This window comes from Homo sapiens, chromosome 5 (assembly GCF_000001405.40).
Source record: "Homo sapiens chromosome 5, GRCh38.p14 Primary Assembly".
In the NCBI taxonomy this organism is placed as follows: domain Eukaryota; kingdom Metazoa; phylum Chordata; class Mammalia; order Primates; family Hominidae; genus Homo; species Homo sapiens.
In genome coordinates this window covers 22,465,379-22,490,326 of record NC_000005.10, presented here as the reverse complement: position 1 = coordinate 22,490,326, position 24,948 = coordinate 22,465,379, and the positions used below count along the sequence as shown (strand labels likewise).

The 24,948-nt window shown below is 36.1% G+C and overlaps 1 protein-coding gene across 5 annotated transcripts in view, besides 2 other annotated features; it reads left to right on the top strand.

The window, feature by feature from the left end:
* Positions 1 to 24,948, top strand: part of CDH12 (cadherin 12) — a 1,102,672-nt gene that overhangs the window by 363,018 nt on the left and 714,706 nt on the right. The window lies entirely within an intron of this gene.
* Positions 9,761 to 9,918: a silencer, noted in NCBI's record as "fragment chr5:22480518-22480675 (GRCh37/hg19 assembly coordinates)". NCBI's record gives its function as "represses an EF-1alpha promoter that drives an FKBP-Casp9 reporter gene in an ReSE screen in HepG2 liver carcinoma cells {active_cell/tissue: HepG2}" and the evidence as "EXISTENCE:reporter gene assay evidence [ECO:0000049][PMID:32094911]".
* Positions 15,430 to 16,629: an enhancer, noted in NCBI's record as "MED14-independent group 3 enhancer chr5:22473807-22475006 (GRCh37/hg19 assembly coordinates)". NCBI's record gives its function as "activates an origin of replication core promoter dependent on BRD2, BRD4, P300/CBP and CDK7 cofactors, and independent of MED14, by STARR-seq in HCT116 cells {active_cell/tissue: HCT116}" and the evidence as "EXISTENCE:reporter gene assay evidence [ECO:0000049][PMID:35650434]".

Below are 24,948 nucleotides of genomic sequence, written 5' to 3'. Positions count from 1 at the left end.
GAGTGAAAGCAATATTATAAGAGAATAAAAACTAACTTTATGTGATGCTCATATTCTCTTTATTTCAGCTGGGTTCAACTCAAAATTAGTTGTGTTTTTCCTGTGAGTGATATGCGTAATATCACATAAGAATATGGATGCTCTATGGTTTTAAATATTTTTCCAGCTATAATCAAAGGAAAAGGTGAAAACAATATATTTGTCACTATTGCTCTAGCTATTAAGATTGTATTACTTAAATCCAGTGGACATATAATTTAAAATTATACCTTATCTTCCTCAGTAGGCAAACTCAAACACTATTAAAGAGCAATATAAAAGTAGGACTTGTCATACATTTCCAAGACAATATTTCACTGTGTCTCACACCTGTAATCCCAGCACTTTGGGAGGCCGAGGCAGGATCTCACTTGAGCTCAGGAATTCAAGACCAGCCTGGGCAACATAGGGAGACCTCATTTCTACAGAAAAATTTTAAAATTAGCTGGGCATGTGCCTGTAGTTCCAGCTAATCCAGAGGCTGAGGAAGGAGGATTGCTTGATCCAGGGAGGTTGAGGCTGCAATGAACCGTATTTGTGCTCTAGCCTGGGCCACAGAGGGAGACCCTGCCTCAAAAAAAAAAAAAAAAAAAAAAAGTTACACTGCACAAGGCATCACAAAGCAGTTTTAAAATCTTCAGTCTTTACATTTACAGCTATAAAATTGCAGCATATGCAGCTAGTGTTTTTAATAAATAATATCCAATTAAAACTTAAACTCCTTGAGATTATTTTTTGTAGCTATATCTTCAATACCAAAATTGCGACTGAAATCATGCCAACAGTAGAAAGATCATTTTAATTCTAATGTCATTCCATGGCAAAATAAAAAGTTGATAACTCAGTTATCAAATGGCCTTTATTTTTAAGATTTACAGGTTGGTGTGAAAGTGATTGCAGTTTTTTCCATGAAAAGTAATACTGAAAAACTGTCCGGGCGTGGTGGCTCACGCCTGTAATCCCAGCACTTTGGGAGGCCGAGGCAGGTGGATCACGAGGTCAGGAGATTGAGACCATCCTGGCTAACACGGTGAAACCCCGTCTCTACTAAAAATACAAAAAATTAGCCAGGTGTGGTGGTGGGCACCTGTAGTCCCAGCTACTCAGGAGGCTGAGGCAGGAGAATGGCGTGAACCCAGGAGGTGGAGCTTGCAGTGAGCCGAGATCGTGCCACTGCACTCCAGCCTGGGCAACAGAGCGAGACTCTGTCTCAAAAAAAAAAAAAAAAAAAGGTGGTACCAAAAAACTGCAATTACTTTCACACCAACATAATAATAGAAAAAAAATGGCTGTCATAAGGGTACCAGGATTTTTAAAAATCAGATAATTTAAGACATGCAAGCATAGAAATGACTATCATTAAGGAAGAAGTTTTCATTCACAGTTCTCTAGAAACAGGGCCATGCCATGCCACATGGGACAACATAGGGAAGTACCAGTATTGGCCAGTAGATAGAGGGTGCAAGAGGCAAATGTGGCCAAATGAATCTTTATGGAAACCTTTGTGATTTCTGCAGGAGGGGCTGATGAGGCAGGGTAAGCAGGTTTAGGATGGGCTAGCTTGAAGAATTTCAGTGGCTCTTGGAAATAGGTGCAGTTCTTTGTTGTCTGGTAGTTGGCCCTAGGATAATTAGGGTAGATGGATAGTGGCCCAGAGTTTGAGAGCCCAGTAAAGAAGATGAGTAGAGGTATGGCCTCTGGATTGGTTGGTTTGCATGTGAAAGGCACATTCCCAGGGAATTGTTTGCTATCTCTTGGAATGAGCTAACCCTTTGAGGGGCAGTCCTTTCAGGATCAGTGAAGCCCCAAAATGTAAAAGCATTAAAATATGGGAAATAAAAGGCATAGTTAATAAAACTGCATTCACTTGACTTCCTTTACAAAATTGCAATTTTTTAAGATAGCCATGACACTGGAAAAATAAAAAACATTTAAATGATGGCAAGGTAAATTGACACCCACGGAAAAAAATATTTCTTTTATTTTGCACTATTTTCTCCATAAATGGCCATCTATATATGGTTTAAATGATTAAGTCATTTTTGCTGCGTTATTTAAAAGTAGTGAAGGAAAAGCAGACAACGAATATTGGCAGATTTTGTTTGAAGACTTACTTAGCTGTCAGTTTCAGGACTTTTCTGTATGAGGTGTGTCAAATCATGTTAAACTGGAACACTACAATTGTACGTTTCTTTGTTACAAAGTACTTTCCTATGAGTTACACCATTCCCAATTCCAGAATATATTACATGACTTCTGCTTTTGCCATTAATACTTTACTGTGATGGACGTGGTATCAAAATAAGTTGTTAAAACCAATTGACATTTATATTATCAGACATGCCTGTTATATGAAATAAATATGATGGATTTACATAACTAGTCAAGCACATAATGTTGTTAAAAGTTAAATTTTAGTATGCAGAATTGCATGCCAATATTAAGCACAGTTCTCAGTTGCTCACATTTTCTTCTATGTTAATGTGAGCTGTTGGTCTGGATATGGGTATGCACATTAAAACACATGCAGGTGGTAGGTTTTGCTAGCCCTGAGGTAAGTAGGTTTTGCTTTCTTCAATTTTGTACTGATTTTTTTGCCATTAGTCAATGAGCAATGAATATTTTTGATATTGCATCTCTAATTTATATATTGACATACATTTTTACAGCTCCTAGACTCAGTGTTCAACTCAGCTTTCTGTTTTTATTTTGTTTTTGTTTTTGCTTTATTGTTCATTTAATGTATGTATATCCTTGTATCTATTACTTTTTGTGCCCTCAAGTTTCACTGTCTTTCACCTGGCAGTTAAATTACAGCATTTCCTCTATCAGATCCAGGAAATCCCTGATTTTTCCTTCTATTATTGTCAAATTATGTGATTATGCGATATACATTTTATCCCTGTTTTTTACCTTGTTGTCCACTATATACTCTAATAATCAATATCCTTTCTTGTTTTGATTGTTTGTTCAAAATATATGCATTGGCCAGGTACAGTGGCTCATGCCTGTAATCCCAGGACTTTGGGAGGTCAAGGAGGGTGGATCACCTGAGGTCAGGAGTTCGAAATCAGCTTGGCCAACATGACGAAACCCCATCTCTACTAAAATACAAAAATTAGTGGGGCGTGGTGGCACATGCCTGTAATCCCAGCTACTCAGGAGGCTGAGGCAGGAGAATCGCTTGAACCCAGTAGGCAGAGGTTGCAGCAAGCTGAGATCATGCCACACACACACAAAAAAAGCCGTATGTATATATGCATTTTCCTCAGTATGCATTTAATCTTAATCAAACACATTTATGGTTTGCCCCCAGACATGGCGCTCTCTGACCCCTAAGTTAGGCCAGAAGATCTTTGCAAACACTTGACCTCAATGAACTTCCAGGTCTAGATGTGAAAGTTGGAGATAATGACCACCTCACTGTGCAACTAATGATTATGTATCATCATAATTACCCATAATTATGTCTGGTTTTAAGTAGGCCTTTTCAAATCTCTACCACCAGAACTATTGGTTAAAATTACAAGTTACTGGCCGGGCACAGTGGCTCATGCCTGTAATCCCAGCACTTTGGGAGGCCAAGACAGGCGGATCACCTGAGGTCAGAGTTCAAGACCAGCCTGACCAATATGGAGAAACCCCATCTCTACCAAAAATACAAAAAAATTAGCCAGGAATGGTGGCACATACCTGTAATTCCAGCTACTCGGGAGGCTGAGGCAGGAGAATCGCTTGAACCTGGGAGGCGGAGGTTCCGGTGAGCCGAGATCGTGTCATTGAACTCCAGCCTGGGCAACAAGAGGGAAACTCTGTCTCAAAAAAAAAAAAAAAAAAAAAATTACTAGTTACCACTTCTCATCCTTTTGCTTCATCTGTAATTCAAAGCCTATTTCTACTTGTTGTATTGACTTAGATTATCACAAGATGAGTTTTTTGTGTGTCTTACTTTAACATCTGGAAGGCAATAAAGTGATAATATTAGTTAGTGGGTGGTGACTTTTATATCTAGGACCACAATGTTCTGAAGGACCTAGTGTATGATAGGAAAGGTGACAATTTCTGAGACTATAACTAGAACTATGTTTCAGAGGAGAAAGGAGAGTTGTCATGAAGCCAGTGCCAGCAAGGACATCATGGGAAGAAACAGAGAGGTGATTCTGGCTGGGGCAACCAGTAGAAAACACTTGATGAGGAGAGGCTGAGGGCAGGCACGGGGCAGCAGCTATGTGCAGCTGACAGTGGGTGAGGCTTTCCAGCTGCGTTGGTCCTGCTTCCTTGGAAGTCACTTTGAAAAAGGTCCCTTATCCAGTGCTGAAGACATGCCACTATTGGACCAGAAATGCTTTAACCCTATTGCCCCTCTTGGGCTGTGTATTCTTTTGCTCTGATATCCTCCTAGCAAAATATTTCTTAATAAAAACATTAGAAATGTATGAGTAAATCAAGAAAATGGAAAGGTAGGCATTTGTGTCATTATTTTGATATGATTAATTTCTCCCTTGTAGCTAAGGTGTTTTCCTCTATTATTTGGAAAATCATAAAACAATTTCTTCCATGCTGTACCTGTTTTGTTAGTCCATGTGAATATATAAGATAAGGTAAAATCTAACTTAAAGCTATGTTGTAAACTTTAAGGCTAAAGAGAACAGAAAAGAAAATGGAAGATAAAACTATACAAATAATACTCTAAATCTAATTTAATACAAATGCTTTCTGGAGAAAATCCAAATGATTTAACTTTATGTTGGCCAGGGGAAAAAAGCATAAGAATAAAAAGGATGAAAAATATATTTTAAGAAAGGATAATTGTCCATTCCTATAATCCCTGCACATTGGATGGCTGAAGAAGGAGTCTTGCTTGAAGCCAGGAGTTTAAGACCAGCTTGGGCAACATAGCAAGGACCTGTCTCTTTTAAAACAATGTATATGTTTTTAATTAACTGGGCATGGTGGCATGTGCCTGCAGTCCCTACTGCTCTGGAGGCTGAGATGGGAGGATCACTTGAGCCCAGGAATTGAAGGTTCCAGTGAACTAATATGAGGCCACTGCATTCCAGCCTGGGTGACACAGTGAGATTCTGTCTCTAAAAAAAAAGAAAAGAAAAGAAAAGCTTGTGCAGTATACCAAATTTCTCCATAAATAAGATAATAAACAATGGACAAGTTTTTATACACCTGAACAACATTCATGTGGTGTATTTTCATTGAAATATCAATGTAGAAGTACATAGAAATTTTCCTTTACAAAAAACTGCATTATACATTTTCTAAGATAGTAAGGTAAAATTCTATTTTCCCTAATATTTTTTAGATCTTTACAAATATGTATCCAAAGACCCTTGAAGAATGACTATGTAATTATATACTCATTCTTCAAGAGTCTTTGGATATTATATATAATATGTTGTTATTGTTCTACTATATTATTATGTAATCCTGTTATTACATAAATCAAAATAGGAGAAATATGTATGTGTAATTTGAAGAAACATATTTGTGCAATATAAGCAATTGCTAGAATTTGGCCTAATTTCTGTGAGACTCACATGTGCCAGGAGGGATGGCAAATGTTTCTATTTCCTCATCCTATTTATTGTTGTTGTTCTTTATACTTTGTCGGTGCTGGCATCTCCCTGCTGATTTAGTACATATATTGTTAAAAAACAGGTTTGCCTTTACTTCAAGGCTTCAAGTTTGAAGGAATTGAGTCCATGTCAGTACTGTCTAGTCCAAGTTCATGGTGATCGTCTTTCCTTCCACATTCAGTGTTTACTGGCTGCACAATTCTCATTATGCTTTCAATATACTTTTCATGTCTCAAACTGAAGGAGTGTGCAACATGATTAAAGAAGTAGAGTTGGGAGACAGAGTTCAGATCCAAGTATGTCTAAAGCTGTGTCTACTCTCTTTAATTCTCCACTTTGCTTCCCCTCAAAATCGTTGTCTTCCAAGCAAACCTCACATCATGCATCTGCCTAAGACCTACCCGTGAAATCCCTCACTTTCAAGCAAGCCACTGGTGATAGAAAGTCAGAGGATAAATGCTAATTTAGCATAAATATATTTTGTAATATATGCTTTTACTTTTCAATAAATCATAAATACTGTTTTTTAGAAAAATGATGTTTCTGGAGGAGAAAAAGAAGATAATCAATATCACTTGTAACCTAGCATCCAAATATATCAATATTTTCTTTGTGACTTTCTTGAATTTTCTATGCATTATTTCTAGTTTTTAAGTTTAGCAACACTACACTCCACCTTTTAGATAAAGTATGTTTGCTATAAACAATTTCTTACGGTTAGAAGAAGTTTGTTTCTGAAATTTGGAATTCCCGATCTTATATGGCCCCTGATATCTTCTATCACTTATTTCTCATTTTCTATACTCATGTCTTACCTGAACCTGAATATTAGCTCACTACAACCTCCAATTCCTGGGCTCAAGTGATCCTCCCATCTCAGCCTTCAGAGTAGTAGGGACTACAGCCACATGCCACCATGCCCAATTAATTAAATTTATATATATATATATAGTTTTGAAAGAGACAGGTCCTTGCTATGTTGCCCAACCTGGTCTTATCCTGGTTTCAACCTGGATAGGCTGATTTCAATTCTGCATAAGGTTTCCTATATTTCTGTTCCCTATGTGGCCAAATTTTTCCAGCAGATATTCACAAAGCTCATTCCCTCACTGTGTACAGAGCTCTACTCGCCTACCTCCTTGTCATAGGGTCTTCCATCACTACATGGTCTTAGAGTAACAAGCCCAGCAACTATCTATCACTTAAAAGGCTTTACTTGTTTACTTTTCTTCGATTTGCATTTCACCACTAGGAAATCATCTTCATGTTTGCAGAAATCATGTCTACAGCTGTATTCCCAATACCTAGAACAGCTCCTGGCATAGTGTAGGTATTCAATAAATAGTTATTTAAAAAAAGAATGTGTTCATATATATTGTAGTTTTCAATGTTTGTTTAAAATTTGTGTCTCTAAGTAGATTTTTAAAAACTTGAGACAGCAGAAGTGTCTTAAAATTTTTTGTTCAACCTTTCCTGCAGTTAATAGACGTGACATGGCAAAAATTTTGACATGACATAGTCTCAAAAGTGGTTACATTTTCCAGAAACTTTTCATTATAAAGCCTGTATTTTCTTTTCTAATTTCATTGATCAATTAAAAAAATCTGTATATCTTCAAAGTAACAAAGAGAAGAGAAGGGTGGTAGTTGAAGAGAAGGGGGAGGTGTGAGTTTCTTCCTATATACTTTCCAAAAGTCACTAGATAATTTTTTAAGAAACTTGACTAAATTACCAGCTAGGCAAATGAAGCATTGCATTGTCAGAGGAGATCCATCACTGAAAGAACACACTGGCCATATGGATGAATTGACTGCATTGGTTTGGACATTTTATGATGGACATTTATCAATTTATCATCTTCCAAGGTGAATGGTATATATTTTTTGGGAAAATCCCCGACACAATCATATTTATTAGCTTGGTAGAGATTTGATGATGGCATGTAGGCTTAACATACGATAGTGAGTAAAACAGAGAATATGAGGCATAATCAAGAAAATGTGTTTTAATATCTTACTAAGGGTTAAATTCCACTATTCTCTTATGCTGACAACATTAAACCTTAATATTATGCTAAAAATTTTTCTAAACTGGATTTCATTAAAAAATCTTATAAAATGTGGAAAATTACTTTCTATTACAGATGGTTTTATAAGAAGAATATGGGTAAAGTTATATACATGATAAGTTTTAAATATTTGATTTGCTAGCAAGAATGTTTTTCTCTGGTTTCAGCTAGGTTTGTTCAACATAAAGGTACGTAGAGGGGAAGACTACTTTTTGGGCTAAATTGGAGATTTTTTTCTTGATAATAAATCTGCACAAGGTAGAGTCAAGAGAGCAAATGATCAGCTAACATGTCAAGCATGCTGTGAGGTCCTTTATAGACCTGATTGTGTGGCGGGAAAATATTGTCTTCACAAAATATATGAGGAAGTCTACTGGATTATGCTTCAGAATCCTGGTTCTTTTTGAACTCGGTTTTCTTATCTGAAATATGACGGCCTACCAAATAACATATAAAATTAGGACTCTTAGTTGGTATTCTCTCATTTTAACGTTCATGGGTTCTTTCCTCAAGTAGTCCCTATCCCAATAGAAATCAGGATTTTGTAGATAATTGTTTTGAAAGTTTACATGGACTTCATTGATTTTCTTTCTTTTGCCTTCAGTCATGATCCACATTAATTTGTTTAACAGCTTCATTGGTGCATAATTGATATACTAAAATACAACATATAATTAATGTATATAATTTTACAAATAACTTATCCTTCACTCTAAAAGTTTCCTCATACCCCCTCGTTTTGTTTTTTTCTTAAGTGCAAGCGCACTTAACATGAGATCTACCCTCTTAACAAGTTTTTTACAAAACAGTGTTTTAACTGCACAAAACTGTATGGTTGATTATAGGCACTGTGTTGTACAGCAGATCTGTAGAACTTGTTTATCTTGCATTACTGACACTTTACACTCATTAAAAGTGACTCCTTATGTCTTCCTTCCATCAGCTCCTGGCAACTATCATTCTACTCTCTGCTTCTTTGAGTTTGAATATTTCAGATACTTCATGTGAGTGGAAGATGCAGCATTTTTCCTGTGACTGGCTTGTTTCTCTTAACAATGTCCTTCAGATTCATCCATATTGTTGCAAATGGCAGGCTTTCCTTATTTTTTAAGGCTCAATAATATACCACTGTAAATACGCCACATTTTCTCTATCAATTCATCTGTAGCTTTAGGTTGATTTAGATTGTTTTCTGTATCTTGCCAGTTATGTCTTATGCTGCCATGAACATGAAGGTACAGATATTTCTTTGAGATCCTGATTTCAATTTTCTGAATATCGATAACCGGAAGTGAGATTACTGGATCATATAGTAATTCTATTTTTAATTTTTAAGAAAACGCTGTACTGTTTTCTATAGCAGCTGAACCATTTTACATTCCCATCAACAGTGTACAAGAGTTCCCATTTCTTCAGATCTTTGCCAACACTTGTTATCTTTTGTTTGTTTAAAACAGAATCCTAACAGGCATGAGGCGATATCTCACTGTTGTTTTGATTTGTATCTCAATTTTGGCAATTAGTGAATTTAGGCTGAAAACAATAATCAAATATGAACATAAGAGATAACAGGTAATACTATCTGAAAAGTCATAATAATTTTTTTAATACTAGTCAATAACCCACAAAGACTAAATAACATATTTTACCTTGATTGATAAAAATACATAGAAGAAAATATGTTATAAATAATTTCTTGCTGGAAAAATATTTGCATTTCTTTTTTAAATGATACTGCATTTCAGAAGAATTTGCGTGAGCATTGCAAATACTGATAATCTTTTGAAATGATGAAGAATAAACTTTTAAAAACCCTGGATCTGTGCCCTGCCTCCCAGGGGTAATCTCTCTGCCTGTTTAGCCTGACACCTGGGCATTTGCAATGGAAAAAACTATGGCAGTCCTATTGATCGGCAACACCTTTGGAAACTTGTTTGAGGAAAAGCTCATGCACTTCTGTTAGGGTTAAGATTGTGCACTTTGGGCAATGTGTCCTTTGGACACTATTGGATAAAATTGAATGCAAGGTGTATTTTTTTTTTTTTTTTTGAGATAGGGCTTCACTGTTGCCCACACTCGAGTGCAGTGGTACAATCCCGGCTCACTGCAGCCTCAAATTCCTGGGCTCAGGTGATTCTCCCGTCTTTTGTCTCCTGAGTAGCTGGGACCACAGGCATGCACCACCATGTCTGGCTCATTTTTTGTATTTTTTGTAGAGACAAAGTTTCACCATGTTTCCCAGGATGGTCTCCAACTCCTGGGCTCAAGCGATGGGCTTACCTTGGCCTTGCAAAGTGCTGGGATTACAGGCGTGAGCCACCACACTCCACCTCTAAGTGTATTTTAAATGTACTTTGCTCCTGGTAAAGTCCAGTAAAAAAGAAAAAAAAAGTCAAAAACCAAAACTCTTTTTGAAAAAAAAATGATGTCCTAAAAATAACTTAGGGAGGCAACAACAGCAAAATTATCTTGAAGCCTATGTGTTTGCTTAAGTCTAATATCTGCCATGATCTGTGTGAACAAAAATATGAGAAAATTCTAGTTGATGCGAAATTTGCTACTCATTCAAAGTTCTGACATTTTAAAATCTTTTCTAAATTGATAGAAACAATGGGTTACCTAACTTTTAGAGGAAGGATAGGATCTTTATTTTTAATTACTTAATAAAATAGTGATATAGAGGACTTAATTTTGGGGGGCTGGGGGCAAATCAAGAGAAGTCACAGTAGACTGAGAATTTAATGTGTTGATTTGTTTGTCTTTGGCTTCATTTTAGTTCTCTTTTAATTACATACAGGCCAGTAAAGACATATGAAACATTACAAAAATTAGAAATTAAAAGGCAAACAAATGTGCGCTCATTTCAAATATTAATCTTTGACACATTTTAATGAACTATTATAACTTTTATTGAAATGTGACTTTGAATTTCTTACAGAAGGCTCATGTCATTATCCATTTTCCAACAAATAGATAATGATTTAGATGCTGTTTTAAATGTTTACGATTAGTCCAATAAACTTTTAGGTAACACCAGGAATTCTCTATCCAGCATATCTATTCAAGTCAACAAGCTGGAGAGCCCTCCCTCACCCTGCAAATTTTAAGATAGATGTCTTTTCCTCAGAAAGGCCATATCCCTGCCATGAAATCTCTGTGGACATTCTTATGCAGTGCATCGAGGCTCCAAAACTTGTCTAACTTCTGTGCTATATTCATCTGTGTCTTTTTCTTTTAGTGTCTACCTCTCTCACTGTTAGCTCAAAGTAATTAGTGTTGTGCCTGGCACTTAGTAGCAGACAAGTAAATGCTTTTAAAAGATGTTGAACAAATACTTGTTATAGTCCACTAGGAACTGTTACCAAAATTAAGAATGCAAAAATGAAAGAGACTAGATTTAAATCATAAGGCATATTGTGAAGATTATGTTTAAAAGTAATCTTATTATCTTCAGCAGTTTTATCTGAAACAAGAAAATGTTGATGATAAATACCTTCCTCAGTAATAGCAGGGCAGACCTGCTGCTGTAGGCCCTGATATCTGAAATATGAATCTATTGCAAACCGTTGCTTTTCTTTTGCATGTATCCAGATAATGGCCTCTAAATCACCCTATGGATGATAAGAACCCAAAACATGAACATGTTAGAACACTTTGAAATATTAATACAGCTAATTGGACTTAGAGCATCATTCTCTTTGATAAAGAGCAAACAGAAAACATTTTCCTCCATTTCGTTCTTTAATTACACTAGGAAAAGACCTTTCAAAATTATCTAAATGATAGCATCAGTCTGTTAGCATTTTTAGGAAAGGCAAACAAAAAAATAACACCAAGATCAATATTTATGATATAGAGGGTTTAATTATGTGAGTAAATGGAAGCACTTTGCGATTTTAAATCCATAATTAACAACAAATGATGGGGCTTTTTTCCCCTCATCAATTCAACCTATCTAGTAAGCAGCATAAGTCTTTCAGGCTCTGAGGACAGAAGTCAATGCACCATCATAAAACATTTGCTCTTGATATTATTTATTAGTATCTTTGTTGACAGAGGTAGCTAAATTTTTACTTCTCTACTTGAACAAGAACTTCTCTTTTAGTTATGGTTCATATATTTAGCTGGTAAAGGTTGTTTACTAGATTGCTTTACATTCTTTTCTTTAAAAATCAACTGAAAATTATTTCTTTCTTTTTTTTTTTTTTTTTTTTGAGACGGAGTCTCGCTCTGTCGCCCAGGCTGGAGGGCAGTGGCGCGGTCTCTGCTCACTGAAAGCTCCGCCTCCCAGGTTCACGCCATTCTCCTGCCTCAGCCTCCCGAGTAGCTGGGACTACAGGCGCCCGCCACCTCGCCCGGCTTATTTTTTGTATATTTAGTAGAGACGGAGTTTCACGGTGTTAGCCAGGATGGTCTCGATCTCCTGACCTCATGATCCACCCGCCTCGGCCTCCCAAAGTGCTGGGATTACAGGCGTGAGCCACCGTGCCTGGCCTATTTTTCAATATTCAAAAAAATTAACAATAAAATTTCCATTTAAATAGGATTCCTCCCTTGCTTAGAACATGTTACCAAATACTGACTTTCTCAGGGAATATATAATGAGTCTAATCCCCTACTTGGATTAAAAGTGCCTTTTTATGTTTAAAGTAACCTGATCTTATTTAGAAAATGCCACGAGACACAACTGATAATGGAAAGGTTAACTCATTTTTATCATTCTCAGAGAACTAAGTTTCTTCACCAGAGTAGGTTTGTGGATGTGACATAAGATGTTACACTTTAGCAAAAGCTGTACAGCACCATTTATTGTAATCAGTGTAGGTGAAAGAGTTGGAATCCTAAGCGTCCTTATTGCTCATGAGGTTTTTGTTGTTGGCCGCTTTTCATTGTTGTTTTGCTTTTTAGCAGTGAGGGTAGTCCAATAGTGTTATTAACTGTATGAAGAGTAGGGCCATTGTGGAAGACACTGTAGTGGCTCCTCAAAGACCTAAAGATAGAAGTACCATTTGACCCAGCAATCCCATTACTGAGTATATGCCAAAAGGAATATAAATCATTGTATCATAGACTCATGCATGCATACGTTCATTGCAGTACTATCCACAATAGCAAAGACATGGAATCAACCTAAGTGTCCATCAATGATAGACCAGGCAAAGAAAATGTGGTACATATACACCATGAAATACTACGCAGCCATAAAAGAAAATGAGATCATATCCTTTGTAGGAACATGGATGGAGCTAGATGCCATTATCTTTAGCAAACTAACACACTAACAGAAAACCAAAAACCACATGTTCTCACTTACAAGTAGGGGCTAAATGATGAGAACATATAGAGGGGAAGGACACAGGCTGGGACTTTTTGGAGGGTGAAAGGTGAGAGGAGGGAAAGCATTGGGAAAACGTCTAAGGGGTTTTAGATTAACTAGGGTTAATATCTTGCTGATGAAATAATCTGTACAACAAAACCCCATGACACAAGTTTACCTATGTAACAAACCTGCACTTGTACTCCTGAACTTAAAGTTAAGAAAACATAAACAGTAGGGTGTTTTTTGTGTATGCGTGTGTATAACCGTTGAGATACGTGGATAAAGCCTAATAATTCTCCAGTTACAAGAAAAAAGGCCTATTGATGGGCCTTGGGGCAGATTTTTGGTAAATCACCACAATCCACCTCAGTATGGTAACTCCACCACTGTGTGCCTACCAGCTTCCTCAGTTATAAAAATAGGTAAAAGATGTGTGATTGGGACTCTGTAGTTTGGAATCCACTTGATATCAGATATTGTATAATCTATAATTGACTCTAAAATTCAAATATCGAGTATAGTTCACCCTATATAGTGAATATTATATAAATACTGTATACAATTTTGGTACACCAATTACAAGATAAATCTATAGACAATTTTTAGAACAGTCACTTCAATATATTAACATTACTTTGAGTAGTATTTTATACAAATAAATATATTGGTTACATGTAAGATGAGGTAATATCATTTATACTCAATTTAATAATTTACGACAATACTATGTAGTCAGCAGCAATAGAGAGAAGGGTAGCAGGATTGTGAGGGATTTCATAGAAATTTCATTAATGGTGTTCCTGATTTATTAATTTGGGAGAAAAAGGAGGAGACCTGATTACTGCACAAAATGTGTGATACCCATAAGTTTCCTAAAATGTGAATTTTATGTTTAATATAGATTAATCATTTCTTAACATCAATTTAATTGTACTATTTAATATGAATGATGTGTACCATTCAATAAACAATAAAACATATAATTTGGTTTAATTCCTTAACTTATCTTAAATGCATCAAGATCAGGTTATTTATATAGCTACAATTTTAAAAATTCAGATATGTATGAATTACCAATCTGTTTGCCTAAGTATAGAATTATACTGAAATTAATATCAACGTTAATGAAAAATAAGCAGAATTTCCAAACAGGGTAAGTAGATAGCTGATAGTGACAGTGATAAATACATAAAATGTCAACATCATTTTAGCTCAAATTCATATAAAAACAGAAAAGTAGAATAGTTACATGAAGGGAGGAATAATTTGGAAAGCAATTATACAGGTGAATGCTTACATTTTTTCATAAAATATACTAGCAGAGGATTTAGCATTTAGATGGAAGGCAGTTTCTCATTACTAGTTTTTATTAGTATATAGATGGTTCAAAGAAAAAAATAATCTCTAGAAAATTTTGTGAGTGATTTATGAAATCTTGTTTTTGAAAGGCCAGGTAAATTACAGCTAATACAGTTTCGAGTATTTAAAAGTAATTCAAAATTTGCATTTAGAATATCTTGTTTCTTGGGAAAGATTAAAGTTACTGATTTCTTTTCAACTATAATATATGTTTTTAAAGATTAAAATGCAATTTCTTAGTTTTGGAAGAAAAAAGGTTTTGGGGAAAGCTGAATGAAAAAGTTCAAAGGAAAGAAGTCTAGTGATTTTGCATTATAGGATATAGTTTACTTTTATATAATGTAATAGATTTAACTTCACTTGCATTGCAATTAGAATCCTAGTGACTCTAATATGAAATAGAAACTATATTCTTATTGTTAAATTCAGTATCGTGGTGCATCCCTTCTGCTGGAAATGTATTTATATTAATATAGTCAATATTTTTATTTTCTTTTATATTGTTAAATACTTTCACATATTCTAATACCTTTCACCTAAAATATAAATTACAGACCCAGAAAGGGTATATTAAATCATTTCCTATTAATCGGTTAGTTATTTTTTCTTTAGTAATTATAAAATGCATGCATTTTCATTTGAAGTATAGACTTAAAACATTTCCCGAAGAAAATTCAAGTAATTCACAATAGTATAAATAAGACATTTACAATCATTCTAGATCATTTCACCCAACTAGAAATGCTATAAGCATTTTGGGGCCATCCATTTGGACAATATGACTTTGAGATTCAAGGATGAGGGTCTTCTTCCCTGCTCAGAATGTTCCCTGGTTCCACCTCTTGCCAAGAGGGGATGAGTTCCAGAATTCAAGACAAAGTGCCTACTAGATATGCAAACACCCCCTCTAGTCAACCATTCAGGACTTGCTTCCAGGATTTTGCTTAGTAGTAGAGATGGGACCTCATCTATCTAACCTGGACTTCAGAGCTGTTATAAAGGTTTGTCAAAAATAGGAGAATAGAATGTATGTAATAATTTGTTAGTTTGGTTCATTAATTATTACTAATGAGAAATATTCTATGTGATTCTTTATTTGTACTATGGCTTGGTTCCTGAAAATATGAGAGTTGGACCTGCTTTGGGGACAGCTTTCTACAATAATGCATGTAAACAAAACAAAAATTGAAAGACGTTTCTCTGTGATGATCAATATCCACATTCTGATCTATGTATTGTATATGACCATTAATAACCTGATGTATTATGCATCATCTTAGTTTTCCTCTGCTAAGGCTATCTGTCTCTCTGGTCATGTGTATCCACTTAATTACACATTCACAATGGAAATAATCATTGTTCATCACCATAACTCTACCAGATTAATTCCCTTTCCAATATTCTCCTTTACTATTGATTTACTCTAATGTTAACAATCACCTATGGAGTTTCTCATGAGTAGTTTCTATTGCTGTCTATTTGACCACTCAGTTATCCATTTCTTTCAGAACTCAGTTGGATTTATTTCTTTATTCTTGATCATGCCACTCCGATGAGAATCATTCACTGTGGTCTAATTTCTGCAGTTTTTCTTGGTTGACTCCCCTGACATCATGTGTCTTCCTCCATCAGTCCATGTGTCCAGGTGATCTGCTACAATTATTTGAAAATACAGTTCTTGGCTTTTCCTTTGGGACCCAGCTGCAGTCATCATTCATTTCTTTGTAACTAACCTGCAGCCACTTCACTCTCTGACGAAGTCATCAGCATTATTACATCCTTCTCTGTTTTTCAGGAAATATTCGTGAAAGAAAATAAGTAATCCTCTGCAGTATCACATCATACCTTGTGACTCATTACTAAATTCTTAGTTAAATGGACCAACTCTCTGGCAATACTCTGTGTTATGTAAGAAGATGAGCTTTTGCTTCATCATGTATTTCATCATCTATTGTTTCATCATTTAATGGTTGTATCACATTGGGCCAGTTATTCAAATTATCTATGTCTCAGGGCATTTTTCTCTTCAAATTTAGAGGGTTTTATTCTATACTCAGATTGAATTTCAACCCAACTTTTTGAGATAATGTTATTGAGAAGGAGACAGGTTGACACTGAGAAATGTCAGTCCGATTTTCCATTACACTATATATATCAATTTACACTATATCAGCCTTACCATTTATAAACCTTAGAAATTCACAAAAATAAAATCCACATATTATAGTAATTTAGAAAGGCTATGATAAATGTGATCACATTAGTTAGGACTTTACTTACCTTTTAAAACTAAGGACACACCTACAAAATTAAAGTTTTGTTCAAATTTTTTGCAATTAATAAAAATTGGGCCTAGCTTTATACCATCTTCTTTCTACCATTTTAATAACATTACTTCTATATCATCATTCATAAGGGTTTTTATCCCCATGCTTCACATATACTTTACAAAATAGAAAATATTAAACTAAGGTGAGTGCTTTAGGCACTTTTATTCATTCAATAAATATGTTTTATACTTACCATGAAAGCTTTAGAGTGTTGGAATATAGCAGTTAAAAAAGTCAAAATACCTTTCGTAATTTAACTTAGAGTAGAGAGATAATATTTAATACATGTAGTGTGTGTTAATAGGTGCTTTAAATTTTATAAAGAATATAAGTCAGTGTAAGTATATAAAGAGTGATGCAGCAGAATGGAGATCTCTTTATATGGGGAGTTCGGGAAAGGCTTTTTAATAAATTTTTATGTTAGCAGAGATGTGGTTTAAGTGAGAAATTGAGTCATATTCAAAATTGAGGAACAATATTTGTAAGAGCAAATATCCAGTGCAAAGGCACAGATGTGGGAGTAATCATGGAATGCCCAAAGCTCATTAGCCATTGTGGCCAAAACACAGTAAAGAAGGAAGGAAAAAATTTCAGGAGTAGCTGAGGATGAAGAATTCTAGGGACAGATCAAGTAGGGCCTCAAAGGTCATGGTAATGAGTTTTTTATTCCACAGATCCTTGTAAAATGGAAAGTTATTGAAGGCCATTGAGCAAAGGGGGAATGTTATATGACTTGCATTTTAAAAGGATGTCCCTGGTTCCTGAATAAAGAATATTTTACATGAAGACAAATGTGGAAATAGGAAGACTTGGTAGATGGCTGATGTAACCATCTCAATAGCAGTTCAAGATACCATAAACCTAGATCATGTTTCTGGGTGTGGTAAAATTTTGGGTCTATTTTGAAGAGAAAGTTACAAGGGTTCAATAGAATGGATGTGAGAATAAAATAGAGATGTATCTAGGATAATTCCACAGTATAATAGATTTTTTTTTGAGAGAAAAAACATAGAAGCCAGAGATGCTGGTTTTGAGTAGAAGATCTGGAGTTAGAGTTTGGAAATATTAGCATTTAAATTCCTACAAGAAATCCAGCTTAACACGTCTAGCAACCATTTGGATATCCATGTCTGAGGTTTAGTCAAAGTGTTCAGGTTAGAAATTAAAAAGTGGAAATTGGAAGAATATAGTTGGCACTGACAGTCACAGTCCTGGATCAACTCAGCTAAGGAAGTAAATTTAGAGAGAGAAGAGGAAGGATCTGCAGACTCATCCTTAGGGCATTCTAAAACTCAGAACTTTGTAAAAATGAATGGCAGCTAGCAAAAACTCTCTCATTGACTAAAGTTTAGTCAGGCTTCTCTGGGCATTCTTTTTGACTAGGCCTTGACCTTACTTCTTTCCTGTCTTTAGCCTGCCAAGCTCTGACTTAATAAGAATTTTTTAAACTAATTTAGGAAGAATACTCCCACCCATAGTATCTGATTACCCCTGATATGTGATAATGTTTCTAGTCTTCCACCCTTGACATATCAGTCCTTCACCTGCTTCAGTAAGAATCTGATTCAGTTGGTTTAGAAAGAATTCCCTTACCCTGGGTGTCTCCTCTCAGTAATTTTCTACCCAGTGACCTTCTTACTGTTCTCCTTGACTATAAATCTTCAGGTGCCTTTTCTGAGTCCAGAATTGAGCATGATCTCACTTCTCTTGAATAAAGTCTTCCTTAGCATTTTAACAAAAGCCAGAAGAACTATTTCTTTAACAGATCCAGCAACACAATCTGGAGTAAAATAATCTACAAAGTTGAAAAATAAGAGATTAGGGTGTTCTGTCAACTAAATAAAGGAAACAAGAAAATAGGAGTCACTGATTTGTGTCATATGGTGCTGTTAGAGCAAGGCAAAGACTGAGAACTGGTAGCCATGTGAAGTCATTGGTAACCTTGAACAGACCCTAACCTGAGGAATGGGGATAAAATATTATTTGGAATTTATTCCAGAGGAAATGACCAAAGATTGAATTGGAGACAGAAGATACAGTTTTTTCCCCCCATGGAAGTTTTATCAAATGTTGAAACAAATGTAGCCTTGTATGTGGAGTGGAAATGGGGGATCAAGAAAATATTTTAAGATAGGAGATAGTATTGCAAAATATTTTTATATTTACAATAATGAGTCAGTAGAAAGTAAACAAAACAATGATGAATGGAATATGGAAGGCTATTGTAAGAGTGTTTGAGTAGGACAGAGATTACATGATCTCATGCAGAAGGGACAGTGAGGTACTGAAATTAGAGAAGAGAATGAAAAATCTTAATAGGAAGCAAGGTGCAGAAATGCATATACATACAAACCTGCAGAGAGCTTGTCGATTGGTTGTTGGCAGAACACCCACGTGTTAGGAGAACATTCATACCTTTAGGGAGATTGTTCATTGGGTGTTGAAAGAACAGGTGCAATTTTTCTCCTGAATGCTTCCTGTTTTCTAGGGAACTAGGAGTAAGTTCATCAACCGAGAAAGAGATTATCCTAGAAGCTTGACAAGAAAAGAGTTGTGGATTTCTCTCCTTTGAAAGTGAGAGAGGGAATTGATTAGAGAAATCTAGCTGGATTCCAGGTAGCATTAAGGGTCCACTTCTTGGACATGCCCTTAAATTAAAAATAAGAATATTCACCATGATCATTGTTTTTCTCCACACAAATTTAGTTTTTCAGATACGGGTGCAGAGTAGCAGGAGTGTTGAAGAAAAAAAAAAAAAAGCGCTAAGGTTTTGCCAGGAGAGTATGATGGAAAAAAAAGGGCTCAGAAGTGCCCTACACTGAAAAGCTTTAATATATAGATATTATAGCTTCATATCTACCAATTAATCTGATGACTATCATCTACCTTATAAAATAGAAAAGAAGACTGGGCAAGGTGGCTCATGCTTGTAATGCCAGCACTTTGGGAGGCTTACGTAAGAGCACTTGACACTGGGAGTTCAACAACAGCCTGGGAAACATAGCAAGACCTTATCTCTACAAAAATTTTTTAAAACTTAACCAGGCAGGGTGGCATGTGCCTGTAGTCCTAGCTAATCAGAAGGCTGATGCGGGGAGATTGCTTGAGCTCAGGAGTTCCAGGCTGCAGTGAGCTATGATCACGCCACTGTTTTCCAGCCTGAGCAACAAACAGTGAGACCCTGTTTCTACCAAAAATAAAATAAATAAAATAAAATAAAATAAAAATAATTGTAACAATCATTCATTAAATGGAAAAATAAGGAGAAAAAAACTAAAAATTTTAAGTCTCAATAATGGGAGTACAGCTACATTTATAAGAAAATGGCTTCCTAACCTTCATAATCCATTCTTCTTTTAAGCCAACTACATAAGAAAACTTCAGAATCTAATATTGATTCTCAAGATGTTTGCTTATAAAGTAAGAATCCTTTTACCCTCAAGATTCCTATGCCATACCATGTCAGGGCTGCATGCTTAGAAGCAGCAAATTGTGCTCTCAGTGCCCATCAATTATTCATCAAGACAAAAGTTTCTACACCAGAAGGCTGCTCTTCATCTTTGACTTTTCACCTCTGCCAGGGTTAACTCAGCAGATTTCATTTTCTTGTCTTAAGAGTTCTTGATATTTTCCCAAAAAGAAGAAGAAGAAAAAAGACATGCAGACTTACTTATGTCAAATGTGAAAGGATAAACATTGCAGGGCTTTGAGGAATTATCCTGAAGTTCTGGCAGGAAAATATTAGAAACTTTGCTATGAGATTGCACAGTAAGGACTTTTGTGTTTCCTACCAAGGAGAGTGTTTGGACACATTGACTTTGGTCCCATCATCAGCTGCTGCACATTCATGATTTCCCTATAATGAATGGTAAAGGAAGAAAGTTGAGAAAAAATATGACAGGAGAATATACACCACTAAAAGTCAGTATAGATAACACTGGAAAATGACTGCCATTGAACCTGTTACAGGTTGAAGTAAACCTTCCCTCATTTATCTGTTGAGGTTCTAATGCCCCAGTACCTCAGAATGCCACCTTATTTGGAAATAAGGTCTTTATTGAGCAAAGGAGTCAAGTTAAAATAGTCACTGGAGTGAGCCTTAATGCAATATGGCTTGTATACCTATAAGAAGAGGGTATTCGGACACATGCATACATAGATGTATGATTTAACTGGAAGGTGATTTTAAAAGATACAGGGAGAAGACAGCTTTCTACAAGAGAAGGAGAGAGGCCCAGAACACATCTTTCCTTCACATTCCTCAGAAGAAACCAACCTGCCAACACTTTGCTTTTGGACTTCTAGCCTCCAGAACTGTGATACAATAAATTTGTTGTTTAAGTCACTTAGTTTATTCTACTTTCTATGGCAGTCCTAGCAAACATAAACAAGAACCATTCAAATTTTAGTTGAAAAATATTTGTTTGCTCTTCACTTGGTGGAGAGTATACTTTGAGGTGCTCTGTGGTGGCATGTGCTATGCAGGAGCAGTGGTTTTGTCTACCTTCTTGATGATGATAATTTTTCCAGCCCCTCACCCTCAAAATATTCTGATTAAGGTGATCTGAATTGGGGCCCAAGAATTAGAACATTTATTAAGTACCACAGGTAACCCTAATCCTCAAGTAAGTTAGGGAATATGTAATTTACTAGAAGTAAATCAGCAATGTAAACAGTTAAAAATATTCAATTGTGTGAAAGGAACATAGAAAGTGTATCATGTGAGATTATTCTAATTACTTCCAATATGTTAGACATTATAAACACTTCAGCACTTTTGAGAGGATATGGGAGTGTGTATATCTGTATCTATCTAAAAACCACATTTATGTCTTTTTCTAGTTATATAGTTGAGTCCATATGACAATAGCTGTATCTACTTATATAAATTATTTATTGGATGAAACATTTTATTATAAATTTTACATAAAATTAACAATAATTAAGATAAAAATGTTTTATAGGTTCAAACCAGTATACATATTACTAAAAACACTATAGGTAAGTAAAACAAAGCTATGGAGAACTACTTAGTATACAATGTTTTTATAAAAGTCAAATAAATGCTATTCTCAAGAAGGGGACTGGTATATCATTTATTAGTTGTAACTATTGAGAATTCTTACTGAGCTTTCCAAAAACTGAATATTGTATTTAAGGAGTGAATTACCTGCCAAATGAGGCATTTTTGTGTTATTTAACTATTTTAGTGTGTCTATCAATAAAGAATAGAGAAGCCACATTATTGAATATATAATTTTGAAAGAGATGCATGATTATGCAATTAATAGTTATATGTCCTTAAAGTGAGGAATGTAAAGATATGTTGGAGAGTCATGTATGTATTGAGTGTTCTCTTTGTGTAAGGATGGTTATATGGTGACAAAATCACACAGGTTGAATATGCTGAAGAGCCATTTAGATACCAATTACTTTAGTTCTGTGAAGCTGGCATGTACTTCCCAGTTGTTCAAAAGAACCAAAGACTCTTCTCCCTGGGAGATCCTGTGCTTGCCTGAGAGTAGAGCTTTCACTGGTGGGGGTATTGGGTCCTCATTCACAGATGAAGCAAAACCATTTTAACTGCAAGTATCCAGAAGACTAAGGCTGAAATCAGGAAATTCTAATCTAAATTTTGGAGGCCCAGAACATCAGACTAAGGAAGGGGACCTTTTCTATCAAAGCATTAAGAATCTTATGAATCATTACAGATGATTTGATGATTTGTTTAGAAACCTAAATAAAACAAAATAAAATTTCTGCAAATTTTCAGAGGAAAAAGAGTCATGATCCCATCAATAACTTAGTAGGTGGATCTGGTGATCTTTGATAAAATTGATTTCAGGGATGGGTGAAACTGGTTACACAGACTGGTTATATTTAGTCATTAGATGTTCTTTAGACATAATATTAGATATTACATGCACTTAGAAATTATATCCATTGTTTTATTTCATTCAACCAATATTTATTGAACAACTACTATGTGCCAGATATTATTCTAAGCACTGATGAATGGTGTAAACAAGAAAGACCAAGTCCCTCCCCTCATTAAGCCCATATTCGAGTGCAAGAGATGGAAAATGAACTCTTTAACAAAATATTAAAATATATTGCAGGTAGAGGTGACTGAAAATGAATGTAATGCAAAGTATGCAGACAGAGAGTGACAGGATGTGGGAAGAGAACTCTTAGTTGATTTCATCATGGAAGTCCATTGGAAGGAACATTAAGTGGATTTGAACAAGCCACGGGAGATGATAGCCCAGAAGAATTGCTTTCAGATGGGGGGATTCTTGACAGGCCATCCTCTCACATGCCAGGCACCTGATGTAAGAGTACAAATGGAGAGCAACATGTCATCTCGCTAAACAGTTAAAATTTTAACAGAATTCATGCTCACGGGCTGTCAAGGTTCCAATTCTATACTCATCTCATGCCAGTATGAGGCTTAGGGGCAGCCTGGATCTGTGGGGATCAAGATCAAACACAGAACTCTCCTGAGCCTGGGCTATCCAATCAAGATTCCCAGGGAGCAGGCCGGGCACGGTGGCTCACGCTTGTAATCCCAGCAATTTGAGAGGCCGAGGTGGGCGGATCACGAGGTCGAGATCCAGACCATCCTGGCCAACATGGTGAAACCCCGTGTCTACTAAAAATACAAAAATTAGCAGGCCTTGGCGGCACGTGCCTGTAGTCCCAGCTACTCGGGAGACTGAGGCAGAAGAATTGCTTGAACCCGGGAGGCAGAGGTTGCAGTGAGCCGAGACTGCGCCATTGCACTCCAGCCTGGTGACAGAGCAAGACAACGTCTCAAAAAAAAAAAAAAAAAAAAAAAAAAAAAAAGATTCCTGAGGAGCCATGCCTCATTTTTCCCACTCAGAATTTGCAAAAAGTTGTAAATGTCTGTAAAGTGACAAAAACCTAGCAGAGGTCAGAAAATAAGTTTTACTACATACATAGTTGAGGGATTTGGGGTAAACAAATGGAAACCGCAGCCTCCTCTTTTTTCTGGTTTATCACTCCAGAGCCTGTGGTTTTCTCCTTTTTGCCTTTACTCCTACACACGTGTGCAAAAGTGCACACACCTGCACAAACGCAGAGTCTCACATACTCTTACACACTTTCATTGCACTCAGCCATACACTCGCTCATATACACTTACACAAACCCAAACCCAATCATACATACTCACCTTTTTTGCTCTTTCAGACTTACAAGCTTTGGTCTGTACATCCCAGTTCAGCTTTGGGGCGATCACTGGCCCATAAACATATGTGCCCCATTGGGTTACTGAGCTTTTAAAAACTGAAAACAAACAAGCAAACAAAAAACAAACAAACAAAACAACTCCTGTTATTCCGAAGGAGAAAAGAAACATTTTCTGTTTTAATTTGTGATCATCAGGGTCTTCTAAAGCATAGGGCTCAGGAAGGAGGGTTATCAACATCTGGCCAAGGGCTGGAGATGGAAATGTTTCCAGACCCTAAAGCAAGAAAAAGATCAGCAGGTTAGAGAAAAAGTAAGATGGCCACTTACTTAGAGTGAATTTAGATAAGAATAAAAGCCGTGCCCCAGGAGTAGGCAAGAGGCTGATTATTGAGATCCTGTAACCCATGGGAAGGAACCCTAATCTTATGATGCTGGTGATGAGAAAGTGTTGGTGGGGTAGAGTAAGAGAACACATTAATCTGCTTTGCCTCATGGAAAGAATAAATTCTGGTAGACATATGTAGATGCAGAGAGTGAGCTATTATAGTTTTTGTAAGAGAGATTATGGTTTGACTTATGGTGACAGTGATGGACATGGTGAGCAATGGATGCCTTTGTGATCTGCAGACTTTTTACCTGACACACTGAGTGCATGATCATGCCATTTACTGAGAGGTGACAATGGTAAAGGATTTAGTTATGGGAGAAATACGTCAAGTGTTCTGTTCTGTTCTGTTCTTACATGTTTTTTGTTTGTTTGTTTTTGAGACAGGGTTTAACTCTGTTGCCCAAGCTAGAGTGTGGTGGCATGATCGTGGCTCACTGCAGCCTTGATCTCCTCGGCTCAAGCAATCCTCCTACCTTAGCCTCCCAAGTAGCTAGGACTACAGGTATGCACCAGAATGCCTAGCTAATTTTTAAATTTTTTGTGGAGATGGGTTCTCCCTATGTTACCCAGGCTGGTTTTAAACTGCTGCCCTCAAGGGATCCTCCCCTATTCGCCCTCACAAAGTACTGGGATTACAGGCATGA